The sequence below is a fragment of the Homo sapiens genome, chromosome 1 (genome assembly GCF_000001405.40).
Source record: "Homo sapiens chromosome 1, GRCh38.p14 Primary Assembly".
Taxonomy (NCBI): domain Eukaryota; kingdom Metazoa; phylum Chordata; class Mammalia; order Primates; family Hominidae; genus Homo; species Homo sapiens.
In genome coordinates this window covers 45,875,718-45,902,655 of record NC_000001.11, presented here as the reverse complement: position 1 = coordinate 45,902,655, position 26,938 = coordinate 45,875,718, and the positions used below count along the sequence as shown (strand labels likewise).

At 38.6% G+C, this 26,938-nt stretch overlaps 1 protein-coding gene and 1 long non-coding RNA gene across 29 annotated transcripts in view; one reads left to right on the top strand and one right to left on the bottom strand.

Moving 5' to 3' along the window:
- Positions 1-26,938, bottom strand: part of MAST2 (microtubule associated serine/threonine kinase 2) — a 232,511-nt gene that overhangs the window by 133,467 nt on the left and 72,106 nt on the right. For all 26 annotated transcript variants that reach the window (XM_011541059.3, XM_011541069.3, XM_011541061.3 and 23 more), the window contains one exon: positions 20,261-20,292. In XM_011541059.3, coding sequence (XP_011539361.1) covers positions 20,261-20,292 — 32 coding nt within the window. The remainder of the gene's footprint in view (positions 1-20,260; positions 20,293-26,938) is intronic.
- The window catches only part of LOC105378694 (uncharacterized), a 41,351-nt gene that overhangs the window by 6,579 nt on the left and 7,834 nt on the right, over positions 1-26,938 (top strand). The window contains exons 2-4 of one of the 3 annotated variants that reach the window (XR_007066060.1): positions 7,016-7,121; positions 7,525-7,625; positions 25,817-25,963. This is a non-coding gene — a long non-coding RNA (uncharacterized LOC105378694). The remainder of the gene's footprint in view (positions 1-7,015; positions 7,122-7,524; positions 7,626-25,816; positions 25,964-26,938) is intronic. The other 2 variants (XR_001738038.2, XR_001738037.3) reach the window with 2 other exon arrangements.

Sequence of the window (26,938 nt, the reverse complement as noted above, 5' to 3'; positions counted from 1 at the left end):
AAACTGAATCAGTAATTTAAAAATCTACGAACCAAAAAAAAAAGCCCAGGACCAGAAGGATTCACAGCCAAGTTCTACCAGATGTACAAAGAAGAACTGTACCTCTTACTGAAACTATTAAAAAAAAAAATTGAGTATGAGGGATTCTTCCCTAGCTCGTTCTACTAAATCAGTATCATCCTGATACCAAAATCTGAGAAGGACACAACAAAAAAACTACAGGCCAATATCCCTGATGAACATGAATGTAAAAATCCTCAACAAAATACTAGTAAACTGAATCCAGCAGCACATCAAGATGATAACTGGATCATGATCAAATGGTTTTATGCCTGGGACACAAGGATGGTTCAGCGTACACAAATCAATAAATGTGATTCACCACATAAACAGAATAAAAAACAAAAACCATATGATCATGTCAACAGACACAGAAAAAGCATCTGATAAAATCCAACATCACTTCATGATTAAAAACCTTCAACGAATTAGGCATTGAAGGAAGACACCTCAAAATAGTAACAACCATATATGATAAACTCACAGCCAATAGCATCATACTGAATGGGCAAAAACTGAAAACATTCCCTCTAAGAAATGGAACAACACGAGGATGTCCACTCCCACTACTCCTATTCCACATAGTACTGGAAGTGGTAGCCAGAGCAATTAGGCAAGAGAAAAAAATAAAAAGCATCCAAATAGGAACAGAGTTAGTCAAATTATATCAGTTCACTAACAACATAATCCTATACCTAGAAAACCCTAAACATTACTCCAAATGATTCCTAGACCCAATAAACAATTTTAGTAAAGTTTCAGGATATAAAATTAATGCACAAATCAGTTGCATTTCTATATACCAACATTCAAGCTCAGAATCAAATCAAGAACTCAATCCCATTTACAATTGCCACAACCAAAATAAAATACTTAGGAATACATTTAACCAAGAAGATGAAAGACCTCTACAAGGAGAGCTAAAGAACACTGATGAAAGAAATCACAGACAACACAAACAAATGGAAAAACATCCTATGATCATGGATAGGAAGAATCAATATCGTGAAAATGACTACACTGCCCAAAGCAATTTTAATCAAATTACCAATGTCGTTTTTCACAGAATCAGAAAAAACCATTCCAAAATTCATATGGAACCAAAGAAGAGCCCACATAGTAAAAGCAATCGTAAGCAAAAATAACAAAGCTGGAAGCATCACACTACTCGACTTCAAATTATACTACAAGGCTATAGTCACCAAAACATCATGGTACTGGTACAAAAACAGACACACAGCTCAATGAAATAAAACAGAGAACCCAGAAGTCAATCCATACACCTACAGTAAAGTGATCTTCAACAAAGTTGACCACAATAATCAATGGGGAAAGGACACTCCATTCAATGAATGGTGCTGGGAAAATTGGCTAGCCATATGCAGAAGAATGAAACTGGACCCCTATCTCTCACCATATATAAAAATTAACACATGATGGATTAAAAATTTAAATTTAAGACCTGAAACTATAAAAACCCTAAAAGAATACCTAGGAAAAACTCTTATGGACATTGGCCTAGGCAAATAATTTATGACTAAGACCTCAAAAACAAATATGACCAAAACGAAAATGGACAAATGAGACTTAATTAAACTAAAGAGCTTCTGTACAGCACAAGAAACAATCAACAGAATAAAAAGACAACCCATAGAATGGGAGAAAATATCTGCCAACTACGCATCCAACAAAGGACTAATATCCAGAATCTATAAGGAACTTAAATCGTAAGAAAAAAACAAATAAATCTGCTAAAAAGTAGGCAATAGAAACGAACAGACACAAAAGAAGACAAGTGACCAACAAACTCATGAAAAAAATATCCAACATCGGCCGGGCGCGGTGGCTCACGCCTGTAATCCCAGCACTTTGGGAGGCCGAGGCAGGTGGATCATGAGGTCAGGAGATCGAGACCATCCTGGCTAACAAGGTGAAACCCCGTCTCTACTAAAAATACAAAAAATTAGCCGGGCGCGGTGGCGGGCGCCTGTAGTCCCAGCTACTCGGGAGGCTGAGGCAGGAGAATGGCGTGAACCCGGGAAGCGGAGCTTGCAGTGAGCCGAGATTGCGCCACTGCAGTCCGCAGTCCGGCCTGGGCGACAGAGCGAGACTCCGTCTCAAAAAAAAAAAAAAAAAAAAAAAAAAAAAATATCCAACATCACTAATCATCAGAGAAATGAAAATTAAACCACAATAAGATACCATCTTATACCAGTCAGAATGGAAAATGACAGATGTTGGTGAGGATGCAGAGAAAAGGGAATGCTTATATACTGTTGGTGGGAATGTAAATTAGTTCAACCCCTACAGAAAATAGTATAGTGATTTCCACAGAACTAAAAATAGAACTACCATTTGATCTAGCAATCCCACTACTGGCTATCTACCCAAGGGTAAATCTTTTTTTTTTTTTTTTTTTTTTGAGAGAGAGAGAGTCTCGCTCTGTCGCCCAGGCTGGAGTGCAGTGGCACCATCTCGGCTCACTGCAACCACTGGCTCCCAGGTACAAGCAATTCTTCTGCCTCAGCCTCCCAAGCATCTGGGACTAAAAGTGCACACCACCATGCCTGGCTAATTTTTTTATTTTTAGTAGAGACAGGGTTTTACCATGTTGGCCAGGCTGTTCTTGAACTCCTGACCTTGTGATCCACTTGCCTCAGCCTCCCAAAGTAAAGTGCTGGGATTACAGGTGTAAGCCATCGCGCTGGGCCGGGAAAAGAAATCTTAAAAAAAAAAATTTTTTTTTAATTGTAAAGCTCTTTTTTTCCCCTTGGGCCTGATGACATAGCATAAGAAAATTATTTTATCAAAAAGACACCTACACTGGTACATTTATCGCAGCACTATTCACAATACAAATTCATGAAATCAACCTAGGTGCCCACCATCAGTAGATTGGATAAAGAAAATGTGGTACATATATACCATGGAATACTATGCAGCCATAAATAGAATGAAATCCTGTCCTTTGCAGCAATGTGGATGTAGCTGGAGGCCATTATTCTATATGAAATAACTCAGAAACAGAAAATCAAATACCATGTGTACTCACTTATAAGTGAGAGCTAAACAATGGGTACGTGTGGTCATAAAGATGGAAACAATAGACACTGGGGACTCCAAAAGGGGAGAGGAGGTATGGCAAGCATAGAAAAACTACCTATTGAGTATTATGTTCACTATTTGGCTGATGGGTTCACTAGAAGCCGAAACCCCAGCATTACACAATATATCCATGTAACAATCCTGCACATGTACCCCTGAATCTAAAAAAAAAAAAAAAAAAAAGAAAAGAAAGGAAAAATATTTTTGGCCAATTCTAATTTCTATTGCTTCAGCAGAGCAAATCTCCTCCAAATAAAATTTAATTAAAAAAAATTGATCAAGAGCTGTTTGGTTCATGGATGGCAATTCCAAGGTAAATGAAAACCATCATCCTGCTTTGGAAGACTACTCCTCTGATCAAAGAAGGTAAAAACAGATCTGCTTGGTGGGCTGAATTGCATTATATTTTTCTAACAGTGACTGATGGAAGAATTGAACAATGGTAGAAGCCCCTGTGTTTGAGTCTTTACTGACCTCATGCAATGTAACCAATGGCTTGGCTATATACTCAGGTGAGAGGACAATGGAAATCTGGCCTGTTAAAAGAATGCCCATATGGAGCATGGCCCTAAGGAGATTTGAGGGATGCATTAAGGTGACAGGGATGGATAAGTAGACATCCCATGTGCTCCCTTGAGGTGGCCAACTCAGTCCCTGAAAAAAAGTGAGTATGGGGGCAATGCAGCAGTGCAGAGGTGAGCTGAATCTAGACATGATCCTTTTGCACCCTTTCAGGTACAAAATGCCAGAAAGAACTGTTCTGTTTCTCAGCAACAGAGACAGAGATTGCTGATGGCTATGGCGCAGATTCTCTGGTAGGAAGGCCCTGAACATGGCTGGCAAATGAGACTGATGCCGGTAGCCCTGGGAGCTACAAAGGGGTCTTGACAGGAATAGACACTGACTCTGGAGTGGGCTTTGCTTATCCCATGGAAGATAAAAATTCTCAGAGTAAAAACAAAAACAACAACAACAAAAAAAACAGAACGGAAGATATTGCATGGATTTGGATGGCCCACCATCATTCTTCAGACCAAGGAACACACTATACAGCCCATAATGTCCAACAATGGACAGAGTGAGATATCCTCCTTAGAGTAATAGTTTGATAGAGAAGTAGAATGGGCAATTGAAACATTGGTTGTCTAAAACAGGGGGAGATAAAAAGCATGAAGGGCTGGCTTACAGGCGATCATAAGGACGTATGTGCTCATACTTAACGTGGGACTTTTTCTCTGTTTTTCTGGTTGATCTGAGGAAGAGGGGATGGGGAGGATGCTAGTATGACTACACAATTCTTACCAGGGGAGGAGCGCACTTGTATAACTACTATAATTTTTTCTTTTTCTTTTCTTTTTTTGGTTTCGTTTGTTTGTTTTTGAGAGACAGAGTCTCACTCTGTCGCCCAGGCTGGAGTACAGCGGAGCCATCTCGGCTCCCTGCAACCTCCACCTCCCAGGTTCAAGCGATTCTCCCACCTCAGCTTGCCAAGTAGCTGGGACTACAGGCATGCACCACCATGCCCAGCTAATTTTTCTGTATTTTTAGTAGAGACGGAGTTTCACTATATGTTGGCCAGGCTGGTCTCGAACTCCTGACCTCAGGTGATCTGCCTGCCTTGGCCTCCCAAAGTGCTGGGATTACAAGTATGAGCCACTGTGCCTGGCTCTATTTGTTTTTTTAAGACAGGGTCTTGCTCTGTTGCCCAGGCTGGAGTGCAGCGGCGTGATTATGGCTCACCGCAACCTCCGCTTCCAGGGCTCAAGAGATCCTCCCACCTCAGCCTCTCGAGTAGCTGGGACCACAGGCAAGTGCCACCACACCCAGCTAATTTTTTGTATTTTTGGTAGAGACAGGTTTTGCCATGTTGCCCAGGCTGGTCTCAAACTCCTGAGCTCAAGCAATCCTCCTGCCTTGGCCTCCCAAAGTGCTGGGATTACAGGCATGACCACTTCGCCTAGCCTATAGTTTTTTCTTTCCTCCCCAAATCACCTTTAAAAAATTTATTTTTTCTCTCCTACCTGATGCAGTGGTCCTAGGACCAGGGTTGCAACTACAAGTGCTGAAACATCAGAGATGATTTCTAAGAAAAAACTGTAACTATGTTTTTAAACCTAATGGCAAAATTCCTAAGAACATTACTGGGGTGAGTAGTGCTTTCACCCCATTTAGCAAAAGTGGGACTAACAGTGAATGCAACTATATTGCCTGATGGTAAAAATAGCTCACTAGTTCTGCTCCTATATAACTTTACCCTATCTGAATGGGAGTGGACTGAGGAAGACCTACTCCTAGACTTGTATTGCTGCCTGCAATCTGGAACAGCACAAGAAGATTCTAATGTCCCTTTCAGAGGTGAAAAAATTTGGGTATAAACGGAAAGAAGGAGAAACCATAGCTGAAAGTAAAGAAGTGAATAAATGAGTTAGGGTTACTAACTGAGGAAAATTCAATGTTATGTTAACAGCCCAAAAGAGTCTAAGAACAAAAGATGATACTATCTCAAGCTCAATTATTCCAGATGCATGAAAGTATGAAGCTGTGTGTTTACCAAGGCCAATCCTGCTTTTGGAACTTGACAAGATTTAGGAAACTTGCAAACCGGAATGGCCTCATCCTGGGAGACATTCATACAATATGATGTACTGGACTAATGATTAATGACTGCATATACAAATATTGTTTGATATAAAAGATCTGTGGTCACAAACTAGGGGGTGACCTGTGGTGTTATGATATACATACTGGTTTTAATCTACGGTTTCTGGCTTACAACTCCCATAGCCCTAGTTACAGTCTTTTGTTAGAATGTTGGCTGCGTTAGGCCTCAGGGGCAGGCCTCTGACCTTCTCCAGCTCTCCTTTCACTTTAATGTTCCCCAACCTTTCTGACTGTGGGTCTTAAGGCTCTCCCATGAGAGAGTTCCACCCTACACCTGGGGCAAGAAATATTGACTTCATGAAGCTTCCATAAAAACCCAAGAGGACAGGGTTCAGTGAGCTTCAGGATGGCTGCACACATGGAAGTTATTGAAGTGACACGGCTGGGGAGGGCACAGAAGCTCCCTGCCCCTTCCCTAGTAACTCACCCTATGAATCTCTTCATCTCTATCCTTTGCAATATCCTATAAACCGGTAAATATTAAAATAAAAATCTAAGAGGCTAAGTACAGTGGCTCACACCTGTAATCCCAGCACTTTGGGAGACCAAGGAGGGCGGATCACTTGAGGTCAGGAGTTCGAGACTAGCCTGGCCAATATGGTGAAACCCCCATCTCTACTAAAAACACAAAAATTAGCCAGGTGTGGTGGCACCCATGTCTGTAGTCCCAGCTACTCGGGAGGCTGAGGCATGAGAATTCCTTGAACCAGGGAGGCAGAGGTTGCAGTGCCACTGCACTCCAACCTGGGCAACAGAGCAAGACTCGGTCTCAAAAAAAAAAAAAAAATCTAAGAAATATAGTCATTCAAGAAAGTCTGTTTCATTTGGCATTGTTATTAAAAGAATACAATTTACAAGAAATTATTGATTACAAATAACAATTTTGGTAAAAATAAAGCCAAAGAAAAGTGTAAATATTTTAATAATTTATGAATTTGCCTTTACTTTATTGCTCATTTAAATAGATGAACACATAGACATGTGCAGTGTTAATTCAACTGTCATTTTTGACATTTTGCCATTTTCAATTGTATAAAAATTGATAATGGAATTGGTTGTAATATTTGCCTGTTTCTCTCTTTGATGATATGCTGTTTTTCTTTCATCTTTGAATGTTTTCATTTTATATCTGGATGAAAGCCATGATTTTTTGTTTTTACTTTTTTTAAAAAAACTGTCTGTTAAACAGTTTTGGAAGTCTTCCACCAAATGTCCAAAGAATTAACCTGTGAGTCACATCAGAGAAGTACACCTCACGTGGACCATCCATGTACATCAGTGCTTGGTTCCCACAGGTAAATCTGAAGTGGTAATCTGAAGTTGGCTCCCAGATGAACAAAGAAGTTTACGGAATCTCCACATTTCTAATTTCAATTTTTCTTTACATAACTGGGTTTTGTTTTGTATTTATTTATAGCTAAGTTATTCCCATTTGTGGCAGCAGAGTGGGACACTGATTTTATGGGCTGACCAATCCCGGGTATGTACCCAAGAGAAATGAAAACATATGCCCATAAAAAAAAAACTTATACATGAATGATTATAGCAGCTTTATTCATAATATCCAAAAACTAGAAACAACCCAAATATCCATCAAATAGTGGTATAGTCACAAAAGGAAACACTGAAACATAAAGGAAGCCAATTACAAAAAAGCAGGTCATTTGTCATTTTCATTTATATGAAATTCTACCACAGGCAAAGCTAATCTGTAGTGCCAAACAATAGATCAGTGGTTGCCTGAGGCCAAGATGTGGAAGATGGGATTGACTGCAAAACTACAGAAGGAATATTTGGGGGTAAGAAAAATGTTCTATCTATTAATTGTGGTTGTAGTTACATGGGTATATATATTTGCCAAAATTCATAAAATGAAGGACCCCAAATTGTTTCTGTGGGATATAACCATCAATAATTACAGTATTGAAAATGGAAACTGAGACATTAAAAAACACTTACTGATTCATTTGATGATAACACTAAAAATGCACTGCATCTTAATAACATCTTAGTACTCATTATCAAATTAATTGTGACCTTGAGAACCCCTAAAACTTGTACTCAAGTAAAGCATAAGTCTGTTCCAGAGTATGAAGACTAATGAAGGGCACAACTCGGAATGTGAATTTTGGCTGTCATGGTTTATAATACCTGAGTCTGAAAAGCTAAAACTGGTTAAAATTTTAGCAAATAATTTATTCAGTTTTGGTGAGTCCATGTCCTTGGTTTACTGTTTACTGCCATCCATTACCTACAATATTAAAGTATATTCTTTTGCTATGTAATACGCCTAGTTAGCAAATATTTTGTGTCTTGCTAGAAAAATTTTCTGTGCTTTATGCTGACTTATCAGGTCCTTAATCAAGCAAGCATAGGGCTCCTCATAAAAAAAACTACAGTTATTTAAAATTGTGTTACTTTCTATGTTTGTTTATAAATGTTTTACCGTCACTTCGGTTAAATAAGTAACCAGGTATTATTTCTCAAGCACCAACAATCCTATCTTAAGTGTTTCCACTAACGATTATTTGAAGATTTGTCTTTCCCAAATCAGATCCTACGTGTAGAAAATAATAAAATAAAACTTTCAGTGTAATTTTTTTTTTTTTTTAATTTGAGACAGGGTCTCACTGTCACCCAGGCTAGAGTGCAGTGGCATGATCTCAGTTCACTGCAACCTCCACCTCCCAGGCTCAAGCAATCCTTCCACCTCAGCCTCCCAAGTAGCTGGGACCACAGGTGTGCGCTACCACGTCCAGCTAACTTTTACATATTTTTGTAGAAATAGGGTTTCAACATGTTGCCTAGGCTGGTCTCAAACTCCTGAGCTCAAGCAATCCTCCCACCTTGGCCTCACAAAGTGCTGGGGTCAGTGTATTTTTAATACCAAAAACTATCTCTGAGATATCCCAAAACATCCTTGGCAAAATCACAAAGACGTGTTTTCTCCTTTTTAGAGAAATGTTAGAAATAATTAGGTTTAATATTTTGTTATTAATGAATTTCATGAGAAAAGTTATCTACCAGAAGACATGTTCAGTGTTCCCTAGGTTAAAGTTGTATGGGTAAAATGCTATTACTATAAATATTCTAGTTATTGTATGATTAATAGAAAACTCCTAGAGATTTGTCAATGTCCTCATTATCCATAACGTTTCTGAGTCCTGACAGAACTCTGCCAGATTTTAGGAAACAAAAGTTTAGTGTTTTCAGTCTTTTTTTTTTTTTTTAAAATATCCTACAGGAAGAAGTGTTTTCAGTCTTAATTTCAGTTATTATCTAAAATACTGGCCAGGTGCGGTGGCTCACATCTGCAATCCCAACGTTTTGGGAGGCTGAGGCAGAAGGATCACTTGAGCCCAGGAGTTAGAGACCAGCCTAGGGAACATTACAAGACCCTATCTCTACCCCGCCCCCTGCAAAAAATTAAAATAAAATAAAAAATAAATTAAATGAAATAAATAAGCTGGGCATGGTGATGCATGCTTACAGTCCCAGCTACCTGAGAAGCTGAAACAGGAGGATCGCTTGAGCCCAGGAGGTTGAGGCTGCCGTGAGCTATGACAGAGCCACTGCACTCCAGCCTGGGCAACAGAGCAAGACCTTGTCTAAAATAAATAAATAAATAAATAATAAAAACTGAAAATGTTTACTTGGTAACAACCTTACTTTTAACATTTCAATCCAGCACCTTCTAGGTCAGTGGAGTTTTATAAAAATATAGATGTATAGGACTGGAGTTTTATAAAAATATAGATGTATAGGACTTATTCCAGACCCATTGAATCTCTTTACTTGATGTCCTTAGTATATTCTTGGTATGTTTTTGGTGTCTGTATAATACCACAAGAATATTATAAGTTATACATAAAGATTTTTCCCTCTCTAAAAATTATGTTTATCTATGTTTTCTAAATCAGATGTAACCTTCACTGTCTTATTTGCAATAATCTCTTACAGTTTGCTATAAGTTTTTGGACTGGCCTTATTACTCTCATTTTACATGTGACAAAAACAACTTAATTTCCTTGTTAGTTGCATTATTCTTATGATATGAGACTCTGTCACATGCAGAGAGATTCTGTTTTGTGCTGAGGCCTGTCTGAAGGCTCTACAATCAGCTAGAAGCCAGAGTCTGTGTCTTCAACAAAGAAGGGTTGTCTCAGAGCTCCACGGAAAAGGACTGCGGCAGGTATTTTAAAACTACTGACACATCAAAGAATAGACAGGCTTCCAATAGCATTGCTTGGACAACTGGACAACTTCCAGATCATTCCAGTGGAATGAGTCAGAATTTCCAGAACTTTTTTTAGTTAAGAAGCCGACTACTAACGTAAGATCCAGTGAAATGAGAATTAGGTACACAGAACGGTATGAACTATAAGAAATGATTATAGTAATTTGTTTGAAATATTATTTTAATGTCCATTTTCTAATATGCAAGGGAGCCAGTTGTATTCCTTGTTAGGCTATCTATAACTCTTAACAATTGAGTAGACTTTGCTCTTGTAAAATGAAACATTCCTAAATCACATCTGATTCTCACTGACCCTCCCCTAACCCAGAACTAAGAACGTCTTACTGAGTCTCCTTACAGTTCAAGGCAATATGGTTATTTGAATAGGGCTAAACAAGAATCTGTTCTCCTTTTGACCAGAATATAATTGTAAAAAATGGTTGTCCAACAAAGAGCTTGCCTGAAAGGTCACATTTGAGAATCATGCTTATTTGATCAGGTATAACAAACCACTTTTAAGGAACTATGGTTGACTTTATGGAGCCAATACTTACAAAACCTTCCTGGGAAAACTGGCCTGGTATCTGGCTTTACAGGGTCCAGACTTACAGATGGTAAGGAAGGCCACTTCCTGGAAGGCCCAGGACCCTTAGGAATTCACCCAAATTTATAGTTATTACAAGTGAAATGTGGTATTTCTTAGGCTTGCCTTCCTAGCCTCAAAATACAAATAATAGAGGCCTTTAAAAGTCCAATCTGAGATTCTTTATAAAAATTTACAGCAAAGTAAATTTAAGAAGGCTTTATGATAAATTAATATTCTGGCCACACTATGCAAATAATCAGGCCAAACCCAATGAGACCACCCTTGTTTTGTGAACAAAAACGTTTCAAATTATTTTAGATGAAAAGGTAGGAGATTATAAAAAAAAAAATTGGAAAAAGTTAAAAAAGAAAAAAAGGTTACTAGATATTTCCAATAAAAAACTATGCATATTGTTTAGAGAATACTCTTCTAGTTTGTCTTTTATTGTCTTTGAGCTACTTTACAACTCTGTAAGTTATAGGTAGGTAACTGACGTTATGTGAAATAATTTCTTTTTTTTGTTTTGTTTTGAAACGGTCTCTCTCTGTCACCCAGGGTGGAGTACAGTGGCACAATCACGGCTCACTGCAGGCTCAACCTTCCCACTTCAGCCCCCTAAGTAGCTAGGACTACAGGCAGTCACCACCACACCTGGCTAATTTTTTTAAAAAAACTTTTGCAGAGACAGGGTCTCACTACATTGCCCAGGCTGGGCTCAAACTCCTGGGCTCAAGTGATCTTCCTGCCTCAGCCTCCCAAAGTGCTGGGATTACAGGTGTGAGCTAGTACATCCAGTGCACAAAATAATGTTTGTCTATAGACATGCTGATCAATTCTGTACAGTGAAGGTGCAACTGACTTCCCTTCTCTCCATGGAAAAACTCAATTTTATAATAAATAATACATTTATTTCAACACTACACATACACATACCACATATCACTTTGTGGTTCTTTTACTTCTTTGAACTGGCTAATATATCTGCCAGATTTCCTTACTAACAATGAGTTAAATATTTAACATGTGCTTATTTTTTAAAAATCAATAGCTTTACACATATTTCAAAATTTGTTATTATGCAACTATATTTCTAGAGGTAGGAGGACAAAGCATTTATTTTATTTTACAATTTGGTAGCTCTATTTTAAATGATTAAACGTGTATACCTCTATTTGTATTCTTGTGCCAGACCATACCAATGTTTGGAACAAGTTCAAATGATTGCCAATTTGTGTTAAACTCTATAGTAGGCTCTGGGATCAGCATATTGTACCGCACAACATGGTCCTGACCTCACGGAGCTTACCATCTGCTATGGACTAAACTGTGTCTCCCCAAAATTCATGTTAAAGCTTTTACCCCCAATCTGACTATATTTCCATATAGGTTCTTTAGGAAGTAATTAAGGTTAAATGAGGTCATAGGGGTGGCTCTAATCCTATAGGACTGTTGGGCTTGAAAATGAAGGAAAAAATAAGGAAGGAGGGAGAAGGAAGAAGAAAAAGAAGAAGAGACAGATCTATGCCCCTATCCTCAGGCTGGTGTACCACATAAAGGCCATGTGAGCACACAGCAAGAAGGCCACTCTCTGCAAGCCAGGAAGAGAGGTTTACCAGAAACTTAGCATGTTGTCACCTTCTTGGACTACTAGTTTGCATAACTGTAAGAAAATAAATTTTTGTTATTTAAGCATGTGGTATTTTGTTACAGCAGCCTGAGCTAATACTTACATACTACACAACGGGAAAAGGCAGACAAATAGTTCTTTATTTACAACTGATGTAAGAGCTATGAAGAAAAAGTAGAGGCTTTATTGAAAGTATGTTCTGGGAAACCCAACTTAGTCTACAGACAGCAAGGTTTGGGTGAGGTCAGGAACGCCTTTCATAAGGAAGTGAGGTGTAAGCTGGGACTTGAAAGGTGTGTAGGAACTAGATTGGTATAGATGGAAAAAGAACATTCCAGCTGGGCACGGGGGCTCATGCCTGTAATCCCAGCACTTTTGGGAGGCCGAGGCAGGCGGATCACGAGGTCAAAAGATTGAGACCATCATGGCCAACATGGTGAAACCCTAAAAATATAAAAATTAGCTCAGCGTGGTGGAGCGCACCTGTAGTCCCAGCTACTTGGGAGGCTGAGGCAGGAGAATTGCTTAATCACCTGAGGTTGGGAGTTCGAGACCAGCCTGACCAATGTGGTGAAACCCTGGCTCTACTAAAAATAAAAAAAAAAAATTAGCTGGGTGTCATGGCGTGCACCTGTAGTCCCAGCTACTCAGGAGGCTGAGACAAGAGAATTGCTTGAACCCAGGAGGTGGAGGTTGCAGTGAGCCAAGATTGCGTCACTGTACTCCAGCCTGGCAACAGAGTGAGATTCTGCCTCAAAAAAACAAAACAAAACGAAACAAAACAAAAATTCCAGGCACAGAGAACACATTGTGTAAAACATGGAGAAAAATATAGCAACCACACTGTATAGATAGTCAGGTGTGATCCTAAGAGTAAGAAAAAATTCACCAAAGGCCAGGTGCAGAGGCTCACACCTGTAATCTCAGCACCTCGGAAGGCCGAGGAAGGCAGGTAGTTTTAGCCCAGGAGTTTGAGACCAGCCAGGGCAACATGGCAAAACCCCACCTCTACAAGAAGTACAAAAATTAGCTGGGTGTGGCGGCGTGCACCTGTGGTCCCAGCTACTTGGGAGACTGAGGTGCGAGTACCACCTGAGCCCAGGAAGGCTGGGGCTGCACTGAGCCGTGATCGCACCACTGTACTCCAACCTGGGTGACAAAGTGAGATTCTGTTTCAAAAAAAAAAAAATTTCACCAAAAAAGTTTAAATTAATATCTAATAATGAAATCCGCATTTTAAAAAGCTTTTCCTGGCTATTGTATGATAGTTAGGTAGACTGAGGGTGAGCAATGCCAGATAAAGAAAGGCCAGTTAGGAGGTTATGGCAGTAGCAGAGGCAAGAGATTACAATGGCTGTGACTATCTGGACAAACCAGTGGTAGTATAAAGAAAGAGAGAACACCAGCCGGGCACAGTGGCTCAGGCCTGTAATCCCAGCACTTGGGAGGCCGAGGCGGATGGATGATGAGGTCAGATTGAGACCATCCTGGCTAACGTGGTGAAACCCCGTCTCTACTAAAAATACAAAAAATTAGCCAGGCGTGGTGCACACATCTGTAGTACCAGCTACTGGGGAGGCTGAGGCGGAAGAATCACTTGAACCTGGGAGGCGGAGGTTGCAGTGAGGCGAGATTGTGCCATTGCACTCCAGCCTGGGCGAGAGAGCAAGACTCCATCTCAAAAAAAAAAAAAAAAAAAAAAAAAAAAAAAAAAAAGAGGCCGCGCGCGGTGGCTCACGCCTGTAATCCCAGCACTTTGGGAGGCCGAGGTGGGTGGATCACAAGTTCAGCAGATCGAGACCATACTGGCTAACAGAGTGATACCCGGTCTCTACTAAAAACACAAAAAATTAGCCGGGCGTGGTGGTGGGGGCCTGTAGTCCCAGCTACTCAGGAGGCTGAGGTGGGAGAATGGTGTGAACCCGGGAGGCGGAGCTTGCAGTGAGCCCAGATGGCGCCACTGTACTCCAGCTTGGACCACAGAGCGAGACTCAGTCTCAAAAAAATAAAATAAAATAAAAATAAAGACAGAACACCAAGAGATATTTGAGAGGTATAACAGAAAAGACTTGTGAGTGTAAGGAAGAGCATGGCAACAAAAATAACTAAATTTTCTATCTTGAGGAAGCAGTACCATTTAATAAGCTAGAGTATAAGAGAGGACCTGATTTTTGAGAAAGACAATGACTCAGATTCATAAATGCTGCAGTTCAGATGTCTCTGAAATATTCAGTCACATTATGGTGAATGGACAGTTATGAGATCTAGCGATATAAATGTGGGGATAATGAGCATGACAACTATTCTCAACATACAGTAACAAAAACAGGTTCTCAAGGATTTTCAGATCCCACCTACACAGGTAAAGCTCGCCAACAACTACATCCATTTTTTAACAACAAACTGGTTCCCTGTAGGGATATGAGTGATGACTATGGCTACTTCCCTCCCAACCTCTGCTACGTCCTGCCTTCCCATTGGACACTTAGAGAATCTATATGAAATTACTTCCCACCAACTTTTAAAAGACAGGGTCTTAAATGTAACACAAAGCTATCACTCTGGGCTTTAGAGTCTTGAAAGATTGCAAAATTTCCTGATTTTCAAAGCCCCACAGAAAACCTAAAGCCCTATATCAGACGCCACTGATACCTCAACAAAGGGTTTATTATGTGTATGCAGCAGGTGGTATCTCTTTTTAGCACATTTTCCAGAAGCATTGATCCAGGCATCAAGTTGCATCAGAATGGGAAAGTACATGACACTGTCAGTTTCATAGGAACAAAGTTTGACACATCACATCCCTGGGGCCCAGGAACTCCTCCCTGCCCACTATGCAGTGCCTATCACTGCAGACACCAGACATTAACTTTCATCCAATATCTGGTATCTAAGTCCACTGCCCAAATGAATAAGCTGACAAAATAAAAGGTTAACTATCCCCAAGGGCTCTAAAGACTACAAGCCAGCAATGCCAATAATATCAACACACACATATACACATACCCCATGATGAATGCAACCAACAGCTACCTCTCCACTCCTACAGTCTGTTATCTCAATTGACTGCTCATAGCCTCTAAGAAATAAAGCAAGACATTTCATGAAATATGAGGAAAATTATCTTAAGCCTAATGGGTATTAGAAAAGCTTTACTTTCAGGGTAACTGGAGACATAAGCATTATTTACATTAAGCTCCCAAATGCAGGGTCTAGGTACTGGTGCTGAAATTCACAAACAAAATAAACAGTCGCCAGGCATTGTGGTTCATGCCTGTAATCTAAGCACTTTGGGAAGCCAAGGTAGGCAGATAGCTTGAGCTCAGGAGTTCCAGACCAGCCTGAGTAACATAGTGAAACCCCATCTCTACAAAAAATACAAAAATTAGCCAGATGTGGTGGCAGGTGCCTGTGGTGCCAGCTACTCAGGAGGCTGTGATGGGAAGATCTCCTGAGGCCAGGGAGGACCAGGCTGCAGTGAGCTGAGACTGCGCCACTGCACTCCAGCCTAGGCTAAAGAATGAGACCCTGTCACAAAAACAAACAAAATAACAACAACAGCAAAAGAAACAATCCTATTTGAAAGGAATCATCAAAAAGAGGCCCCCACTATAGCATTGGGCAAGAAAAGCCATTCAGAGCTGCTTCAATTATGAAAAAGTAAAATATAAAACCCTTCTAGCCTGGGTAAACAGATACAAGTAACTTTAGAACTTCAAAATCTTCTTTTCACAGATATTGTACTTTGAACAAAGTTATCAACTCCCTTAGGTCTGATATTCTAAACTACATTTTTAATGCATTAAAAAAATACCCAGATGGGTTTAAATATGAAATAGCTTTCTAAAAATGAAAATGATTTAGTTTCAGGAAGCTACATCTAAAATAAATGGTATGAGCCAGGCCAAAAGAACTTTCATAACCACCTTGCCCCAATAAAGCCCTTATCGTGGCAGGCATAGATGATGTTTGCATTTTGCGTATTAGAATGTAACAGCTCTCTTCCCTAATCTGACCAATGTCACTATAAATGTGTGTGTGTGTGTGTGTGTGTGTGTGTGTGTGTACTTATAGATACATATATAAATATGTATACAATATATAAATATATATGTATACTTATATAAGTATATAAATATATATAATATATACATATATATTTATCGATCTATCTCTATCTCAGTATCACTCATTCCAGACTCCTGTTCTCTGCTCAAATGTTGCCTTAATGAGAAAATTCCTGGACAATACAAAATTTTTTGATTTTTAAAATTTTTCTGTAGAGACAGGGTCTCACTATGTTGCCCAGGCTGTTCTCAAACTCCTGAACTCAAGCGATCCTCCTGCCTTAGTCTCTCAAAGTGCTCGGATTACAGGTGTGAACCACCACACCCAGCCTAGACAATTCAATTTAAAATTTAAAATTTAAACCCTCACCCCCACAGAAACACACATCCTCCTCTCTGATATCTGGCTTTATTTTTCTTCATAGCAGTAAGTACCATATGGCATATCATACATGTTTTTGTCTCTCTTAAGTAGAATGGAAACTCCATGAGCACAGGGACCTTGTCTGCTTTATTCACTACTGTATCTCCAGTATCTAGAATAGTGCCTACACCTAACTGGAACTAAAATAATATAGTATGATGGATGCATGGATGGAAAGATTTGAGCAAATGACAAAGTGAATGGAGGCAAAAAGACAAAAATATAGTAACTGATTTTACCAAAAAACATCTAGTAAGTAATAGTGCCGTGACTGAAACCCACATCTGCCTGACTTGCAAACCCAAGCTGTTAATTTTTATGCTATACTTCCACTTACCAATTTGGAGACTTTGGAGGAATTACTTGTTGAGTGGAAGAATGTGTATTTTGTATAATGCCAAGTTGTCACATAAGTCTAGAAACTCATATTTGAGTTCCTGTCCATTTTAATGCAACTAACATATTACGTGAAAAGCACAGCAATTGAAAGCCTCAAAAATTAATTAACAAAAACGCTCTCTCAAAGGACAAGAACACCAAACTAGAGGCAAATTCTAAATTTCTCTATGTCCATGAAGGATATATCAGAGGAAACGGGCCTTTATAACCTGGAATGAGCACACCATAGGATTCGCTCTTGGGAGAACCATTCTAAGAAAGGCAAACAGGGACACAAATATGATGCCCCCTCCTTCTGACCAAGACTTAAATGACAATTATAGAAACTTTAAAAATTTTCCAGATCAGGCTATGAGGACGAGAAACAGTGGAGCAAATGGTAAGTCACTCATTTTATTAACATCAGTTTTTCCACACAACAAATTTTGTAGTAATTAAACTTATTCAAATATTTGTTTTGTGGTTCTTACCTGTTTTCTTTACTACAAATGCTAAGCAGTACTTTGCCTCCTACTGCACACTCCCTACAAAGACTTGCCCAGCTCTGTGTACAAGAGGTACCATGGAACTTTAACTGTTTGGGGAGATGACTAAGCATAGAGATCAGGTAGCCAATCCCTTCATTTTACAAGTATGGCAATTCAGGTCCAGAAGTGGGAGCTCCTGTTTTAAAGCCACACATAATTTGTTAGTGGCAAAGCCTATATTAGTACCCATGTTTCCTTGCTTCCTTCCAGAACAAAACTTTTTCGACTCCTCTAATGTTAAAGATAAGAAAGGATATTGTTTATATTAAAGAACTGAAGAACTTCTGGCTTACTTAAGTGTAAGCTCTTCAAAAGAGAAGAATTTATCTAATTGAATCTTAACAGCCTCAGAACTTAGATCACTCTACCCAGCACAGAGTAGGCTTTTTTATTTATTTATTTATTTATTTTTTGACGGCGCATCACTCTGTCGCCCAGGCTGGAGTGCAGTGGCATGATCTCAGCTCACTGCAACCTCCGTCTCCTGGATTCAAGCAATTCTCCTGTCTCAGCCCCCTGAGTAACTGGGACTACAGGCGCACGCCATGACGCCCGGCTAATTTTTATTTTTATTTTTAGTAGAGACAGGGTTTTACCATATTGGTCAGGCTGGTCTCGAACTACTGACCTCAGGTGATCCACCTACCTCAGCCTCCCAAAGTGCTGGGACTATAGGTGTGAGCCACCGCACCTGACCCAGAGTAGATATTACTGTGTATTTACTGAGTGATCAATTGTTTAAATGTGAGTTACTTTATCAAAAAAGAGGAGGGAAAATCTATTTCTGATCCTTATTAATTAAACGTTTTTAAGGCAGTTAGAGTAGGCCTAACTTTAGATATCACTAAAATGACCAAAAAATTATTCTGGTATAAAATAAAAATAAGAATACTCCTCCTTCTCCTTCTTCCCAGCAACTCCATTCATTGAGGACACACATTTCTGCAAGAAGCTACCTGTCTCAGGCCTTAATTTATTTCACTTAATACTAAGAAAAGGCAAATCTCAGGCAGTTTTCAAATAGAAGCAACCAAAAAAAAGCGGGGGGGGCAGAAATAGTAGAAAAATGACCAAGTACAAATATTTCCTGACTATGATGCTGAAAAGCTACTCCTTTTCAGTTATGCATACCTATTTGGTGTCTCATTCCTCTAAGAGTCCTGGTAGAGCCCTTGCCATTTACAGAAGACTCAGGACACTTGTGAAGCTAGACTGAATATCCACTGCTAGAAACTGAATTTAAAATTTAAAATGTGCCTCTTAAATAATAGAATTCATCCAAATTTAACCCATTAAGAATTCTAAAACTAATATATATTAAAATTAAACTATAAGTAATAAAGCACTATACATATATTAAGTGATCCTTCTAACAGGCTTAGTAAGAAGAAAACACAGGTAACATTATCTTCATTTTATAGATAAGGCAACTGAGGTTTAAGAAGATAAAGTGATTTGTCTAGGTTTACAAAGCTAGTTAAATGGCATGGTCAAGACTGAACCTTATGAGTTTTCTGACTCAAGCCTCTTCATATCAAACCAAAATAAGTTTTCGTAAACAGCCCAAAAGGCTTCACAAAAACCTCAGAGGAAAATTTAATCACTAGAGCATTTTTCACAAAACAAAATCCTAAAATGGACAGTAACAGAAAGAATTACTACATGTTTCATTTAAACATTTAAAAATTGCATATGATGTGTATATAAAGTATACTTAATAAATATGAATGCTGTTGTGATCTCCTCCTTAATTACATCTCTTTTTTTGTTAAGGAAAAGTTTAAAAGCCATTGTTTTATCACAGCTCTATTTCCTTAGGGTTCCCCAGATGTGACTTTACTAGTAAATCATGGTAAATATGAGTATGTTTTAGGTATATACAGTACAGGTTTTTGGGCCCCAACACAGAGATTTTAATGCATTAAGTTCACACTCTGCACTTTAACAAACATTCCAGGAGATTCTGATTGGCCAAATTTCTAATACTGCCCCAACAGAATTCCTAGAGGAAAAGCAGTCCAAGAGAATTTAAGAAATTAAAATCCAGGGGCAAAGACTATTTATTAATCTCCCCTAACCCTGAAGCCAGAAAAAAACCAAACAGGTTGGGAACCTATTCCATTCAACATAGTCTCCAAACTTAGCTGGCCTTGCCTCAACTTATCAGAAAAGTTGGTCTTCTCCTCATACCATGTTACCGGATAGATGTAAATGCAAAGGGTTTCCATTTTAATATTCCTACTTCCTTAGCTTGAGTCTACGAAAACTCAGTAAATCCCAAAGCACAAGTATAAGACTGTGATGAATATTTAAGTTGTAACTTTCCCAGAATGCTATGTAGAAACTGAGAGGGAAGAGGTTTGGAGGTCGGGAGGAATGGGGAGGAGGGGAAGATCTGACCTAGTGGGAGAAGTCAGTTGGCCTGCTGGCTTCCCTAGCTCAGATAGGAGTACACAGAAAGAAATTGTGTACTGAGCGGGATTCCTCCACATGATAGTGGGAAATGTTCCCAAGAGGGGTTCCTAAGTAGGAGATCATAATCATAATGGTAATAATCATCTACTTACAAGCTGCCTCTTCTTGGAAGGCTCAACTCCTTCTGAAAAACAAAACATATGCAAGTTAGAAATAAGAACCCATCTGAGTCCTGTTGGTCTACCTAAATGTCCTAGGAAATTCACAGCATTATCTTAATAATGGAAAAGGCCACATATTTCTAAATAACAACTTTTTCTTTGCCTCTTAAATTTTATTTATTTTTTTTTTTTTTTGAGACGGAGTCTCATTTTGTCTCCCAGGCTGGAGTGCAGTGGCGCAATCTTGGCTCACTGCAAGCTCCACCTCCCAGGTTCACGCCTTTCTCCTGTCTCAGCCTCCTGAGTAGCTGGGACTACAGGCACCCGCCACCACGCCTGGCTAATTTTTTTTTTTTTTTTTTTTTTTTTTTTTTAGTAGAGACGGGGTTTCACCGTGTTAGCCAGGATGGTCTCGATCTCCTGACCTCGTGATCCGCCCGCCTCGGCCTCCCAAAGTACTGGGATTACAGGTGTGAGCCACCATGCCCAGCCTGTCTCTTAAATTTTTGTGAAATAAAAGCACTCAGGCAAACTATTACTTCTTTATCCTTCCTTCCTAAAAGGAATGTCTCATAGAATACATGCAACATTTTTCCCACTAGATGGAACCATCTCCCCAGTGTAGATTACAGGCACTCTAGGCCAGCCATTAACTGCTGCTGAATTGTAAAGGGCATTAGTGGCAAGCATACAGAAGGAATGAAATAGGATTAGGGGCAGTGGGTGATAACTAGAAAATATTTTAGACAAATAAAGTAGTATAGTTAATAATATAACAAAGAGATGACTTCACACACCACTGGCATAAGAAATAACCTTTACGATAACAGCTGGGGCCCCTGTGACTTGCTTTCCAAGTGTATCAAGTCCCACCTCCCACCAGTCCTAAATTAACAACTATTCTTAATTTTTTAAATATTTTCAATACGTGTTTTTGGATTTGTAAAAAATTAGTAGTATTGTTTTACATGTTTTAAAATTATATATACATGGTATTATATTATATGTATTCCTCTGTTGACATCAGCCAACATTATGAAAACTGGGAGATTCACCCATGTGGATATATTTCACTTTAGTTCACTGATCTTCAGACAGTGGTCCAGTCTATGAATATACCAATATTTATTTATCTATTCTCTAGTAAATGGAAATTTAATTTTCTTTCCATCTTTTTCTTCTCCATTAAAACAATACTCTTGTAAACATTCTTGTAGTTGTTTCCTAGTGCGCATGTAGAAAAAGTTTCTTGGATGTTGAACTACTGAGTCATAAAGTACTGGATATTCCAAATTGCTCTCCAAAACAACTGTCCATGTAAGAAATATATCCCTCATACACAGTCATGAATATATGTGCTTATATTTTCTTCTAAACATTTTATAGATTTGCTTTTTTCTTTTCTTTTTTTTTTTTTTTTGAGATGGAGTCTCACGCTGTCACCCAGGCTGGCCGATCTCGGTTCACTGCAACCTCCACTTCCTGGGTTCAAGCGATTCTACTGCCTCAGCCTCCAGCTGGGATTACAGGCATGCACCACCATGCCCAGCTAATTTTTTTGTATTTTTAGTAGAGACAGGGGTTCACCATGTTGGCCAGGCTGGTCTCAAACTCCTGACCTCAAGTGATCCTCCCACCTTGGTCTCCCACAGTGCTGAGATTACAGGTGTCAGCCATCACGCCCAGCCGGTTTACTTTTCACAATAAGTTTAATATGCCTTATTTTTGTAAAATTCGCTTATTTTATAAAATTATTTTTGCTAAAATTCAGTATTTGATTGCAATTCTTTTGTGTGTTTTTCTAGGTAAATTTACAAACATTCAACTGTACAAATCTTAAATTACTTAATCTTACGTATGCCAATTGATAAGTCTGTTAAGTACATATACTCAGATAACCTAAATCTCTATCAAAATATAGAACATGTCCATCAATCCAGAAAGTTCCACCATGTCCTTTCTTCGTAAATCCCCAAACAAACCACTATCTTCCTACCCCAAGCAAATATTATTCTCATTATGTCACCACAGATTACTTTTACTTCCTCAAAACTTCATATGAATGGAACCATACAAATATAAACCTTTTTACATAGGCTTCTTCAACTCAGCATAGTATTTGTGAGATTTATCCATGTTGTTGCAGGTAACAATGGCAATATGAATAATATACCCCAGTTAATTTATCGTTTCTCCAATTCCATTTTTCAGCTATTAACATTCCTATAACATGTTTTTTGACAAGCTATATTTCACTTCTCTTGGGTAAATCCCTAAAAGTGTAGAATTACTCAGTTAAAGGGTAGATATATATTTAGATTTATAAGAAGCTACCAGACCTTTTTCTAAAGTGATTATACCATGCTACATTCCCATTAACAATGTATGAGAGTTTCAACTGCTTCACATCCTAGCTAATACATGTTATGTTCACATTAATAATATAAGAAAGTTCGAACTACTCTACATTCATGCCAATACATGGTATCAGCTTTTTATATTTTAGTCATTTTACATTTTAGCCATTTAGGTGTGTACGGGTATCTCATTGTGGCTTTAATCATTTTCCTGATGACTAACGATGTTGAGTATCTTTTCATGTGCTTATTAACCATCAATATATATTCCTTTGTGAAGTATCTTAAAATTTTTTTACCTTTTTAAAAATTGAGTTATCTTTTTACTATTGAATTATAAGAGCTCTTCATAATCTTCTAAATACAAGTCCTTTGTCATATGTGTTTTATAAATATGTTCTAATCTGTGGCTTGCCTACTAAAGTTATTGGTGGTGCCTTTTTTTTTTTTTTTTTTTGAGATGGAGTCTCGCTCTGTCACCCAGGCTGGAGCGCAGTGGTGCAATCTCGGCGTGCGGCAACCTCCACCTCCTGGGTTCAAGTGATTTTCCTGCCCCAGCCTCTCAAGTAGCTGGGATTACAGGCACCCATCACCATGCCCAGCTAATTTTTATATTCTTAGTAGAGATGGGTTTTCACCATATTGGTCAAGTTGGTCTAGAACTCCTGACCTCAGGTGATCCACCTGCCTCAACCTCCCAAAGTGTTGGGATTACAGGCGTGAGCCACCATGCCAGGCCAGTAGAGCCTTTTGATGAGTGAAAATTAATTTTGAGGTAGTATGTGAGATGAAATTAAGGTTCATTTTTTTTCATATGGATATCCACTTATTTCAATACCATTTATTGAAAACACTGTCCTTTCCCTAACAATTTTTTTTTTAACCTTTCTGGGCTCTCTATTGCATCCTACTGATCTATTTTTCTGCCCTATGCAAGCACCACACTATCATGATTCTGTGGTTTTATATTTAGTCCTAAAGTCAGATTGTACAGTCCTTTAACTTTATTATTTTCCAAGATTGCTTTAGATATTCTAGATTCTTGCATTTCGATTTGAATTTTTGAATCCAATTATTAATTTTTACCAAAAAAAAAAAAGCCTGCTGGGATTATACATCAATTTGGAAAGAAGTGATATCTCAAAATATCAAGTCTTATAATACATGAACATAGTACTTCTCCATTTACCGAGTTCTTTAATTACTCTAAGCAATGTTTTATCGTTTTTAACAAAAACACCTTGCACTCCTTTTATTAAGCTCATCCCTAAGTAGATTTTTTAAAGCTATTATAAATAAAAACTTTTATTTCATTTTCCAATTGCTTGCATGTTTATAGAAATTCAATTAATTTTTATATTGACCATGTATCCTATACTTTGGTAAAATTATTATTAATCATAAATGTTTTGTACATTCCTTAGATTTTTTCTATATAAACAATCATATCTTCTATAATAGGGAGCTTTACTTCTTTCCATTTTCTAGAATTTTCTATAAGATGTTAAATGAAGTGGTAGACATCCTCGTCTTGCTTCTCATCTGATCTTACAAGAAAAGCATTTAACATTTTGAATATTTAATATTATGTTAGTTATAGGTTTTTCATGGATAACTTTTTATCAAGTTCTCTTCTATTCCTAATTTGTTCATAGTCTTTCTCACAAATGGGCATGGATTATGTCAAATACTTTCTCTGCATCTACTGAAATGCTTACATAGTTTTTCTCTTCTGTTAATGTGGCAAATTACAGTGATTGATTTTCTAAGATTAAACTAATTTTGCATTTCTGAGTTAAAGTCAACTTTTTTTTTTTTTTTTTTTTGAGATAGAGCCTTGCTCCATCACCCAGACTGGAATGCAGTGGCGTGATCTCTGCTCACTGCACCCTCTGCCTCCCAGGTTCAAGTGATTTTCCTGCCTCAGCCTCCCAAGTAACTGGGTTTACAAGCATGTGCCACCATGCCTGGCTAATTTTTGTATTTTTAGTAGCGACGGGGTTTCACCATGTTAGCCAGGCTGGTCTCAAACTCCTGACCTCAGGTGATCCACCCGCCTTGGTCTCTCAAAGTGCTGGGATTACAGGCGTGAGCCACCGTGCCCAACCTAACTTCAATTTTATCAAATACATTGCTAGATTCTATTAGCTAATATCTTTTTAATGATTTTTGCACCTATTTTCATAAGGGATAATAATCTCTAATTTTCTTATAATTTCTTTGTCAGATTTTTATATCACAATTATGCCGGTCTCCTAAAACTGACTGGGAACTGTTCCTTACTCCTCTATTTTCTGAAAGAAATTATGTAAGACTGGTGTTATTTCTTCCTTAAATATTAACAGCTTTCACTAATAAAAGTATCTAGGCCTAGAAACTTTTATTTAGGATATTTGCCTGTATGTTAATAAGTAAGACTGGCCTATATACTTTCTCGTCTCAAATTGTTCTTGTCCAATTTTGACTTCATACTTATACTATCCTCACTGCTAAGGTTTCAATGTTTGTGTCTCGTCCAAAATTCACATTGGACTTTAAAATCCAATGTGATAGTATTACGAGGTGGGGCCTGTAGGAGGTGATTAGGTCATGAGGCCTTCTCTCTTGTAAACGGGATTAAGGCCTTCATAAGGCTTTAAGCCAGGCATGGTGATGTGCACCTGTAGTCCCAGCTACTCAGGAGATTGAGGCAGGAGAATCCCTTAAGCCCAGGAGTCTGAGGTCAGCTTGGCCAACAGAGCAAGACCCCATCTCAAAAAAATCAAAATTAAAAGAAAAAAAAGAGGCTTCATACAGCTTTCAGCCCTTTTTGCCTTTCCATCCTCCACCATGTGAAGAAACAGCAAGAAGGCACTCACCACACAAATGCCAACACCTTGATCTTGGACTTCTCAGACTCCAGGACTGTGAGAAAATAAATGTCTGTTCTTTATAAATGATCCAATCTGTGGTATTTTTTTATAGCAGCACGAACAGACGAAGACACTCATAAAATGTGCTAAGGTAATATATCCTCTTTTTCTACTTTCTGAAACAATCTATATAAAACTGGAAATATTTGTTCTTTGAATCTACATGACAGTTCTGACTTCTTGAATAGTTTAAATGGGTAATATGGTAGACTACAGTTTTGGCTAACAATAATAAAATTTCCTAAAATGCATATATGCCCCTCTCTGCATTCCTTTAGAGGCACGGAAGCGCATCCGTGGAAATCCATCCCTTCCGACTTCCTTACACCTATACAAAAGCCTGCATTTGATGCCCAGGACTCCAGATCAGTACATTCTGTGACAACTAAGGCACAGTGGAACAAGAAGGGCCCAACCACATAAAGGTAGTCCAAGGAGCAATGATTTCTCAATCCTCCTTTTCCCAGGGAATATTCACAGCAAGTTGGGGAGAAAAGCTACACAATCAGGAAACTTGGCTGAGGCAAGAGTACTCCCATTTAGACAGATAACCATAAATTATTTTACTCATAACCTTCCAGCAACTAGGCTGGTAATACCTGGTAATACATTACAATATCAGGTGAAGCCCATTCCATTCAGCCTTCTCTGATCTACTCATTATCTCTTGACTCTTCATGTTCTTAATGATCTTCCTGATTAGCATTCTGAACACATTCAAGTCTATTCCAGCTTCAGATAAGGAAATAAATTCCCTTAATAACTACACATCCCTCTTCAAATACTGCCTTATCAATTTTATTTCCCTTCACAACCACACTTCTTGAATGAGTTATCTACATCCAATGTCTCTAATTTCTCACTTCCTACTCATTCTTCAACACTCTATAAATATCCCTAGACCTTACCAGCCCATTTAAACCATTCTTGGCACACTGCCAATGTAATGTATAACGCCAGGGTAATGAAGCTTCACTGCATTTTTAGTCCACCTATCTTTTTTGGCTCCACTGCTCAACAGCACCTGATAGTATCATTCACTCTTCTGTCCTGGAAGACTTTTCTTGCCATGAAGCCACATTCTCTTGTTTTTCCTCTTATCCCCGCAAACACACCATTTAAACATCTTTGCAGGCTCATCCTTCATCACCTTAGACCCTTAAATGGGGACTGTCCTTTTAGTTCTGCTTGTACACTCTCCTTTCTCTATATATTTTACAATCTCAAATTTGTATCTCTATCCCAGATCTTTTTGCTGACCTCTATAGTTGTACATACAACTACCTTGTCCTTAATATGTCTAAAACTCAGCTGATCTTTCTACTCAGTCTCGCTCCTTCTCTGTTCTCTATTTTGATGATGGTACCACCAAACCCAGGGTCATTCTTCATTTTTCACTT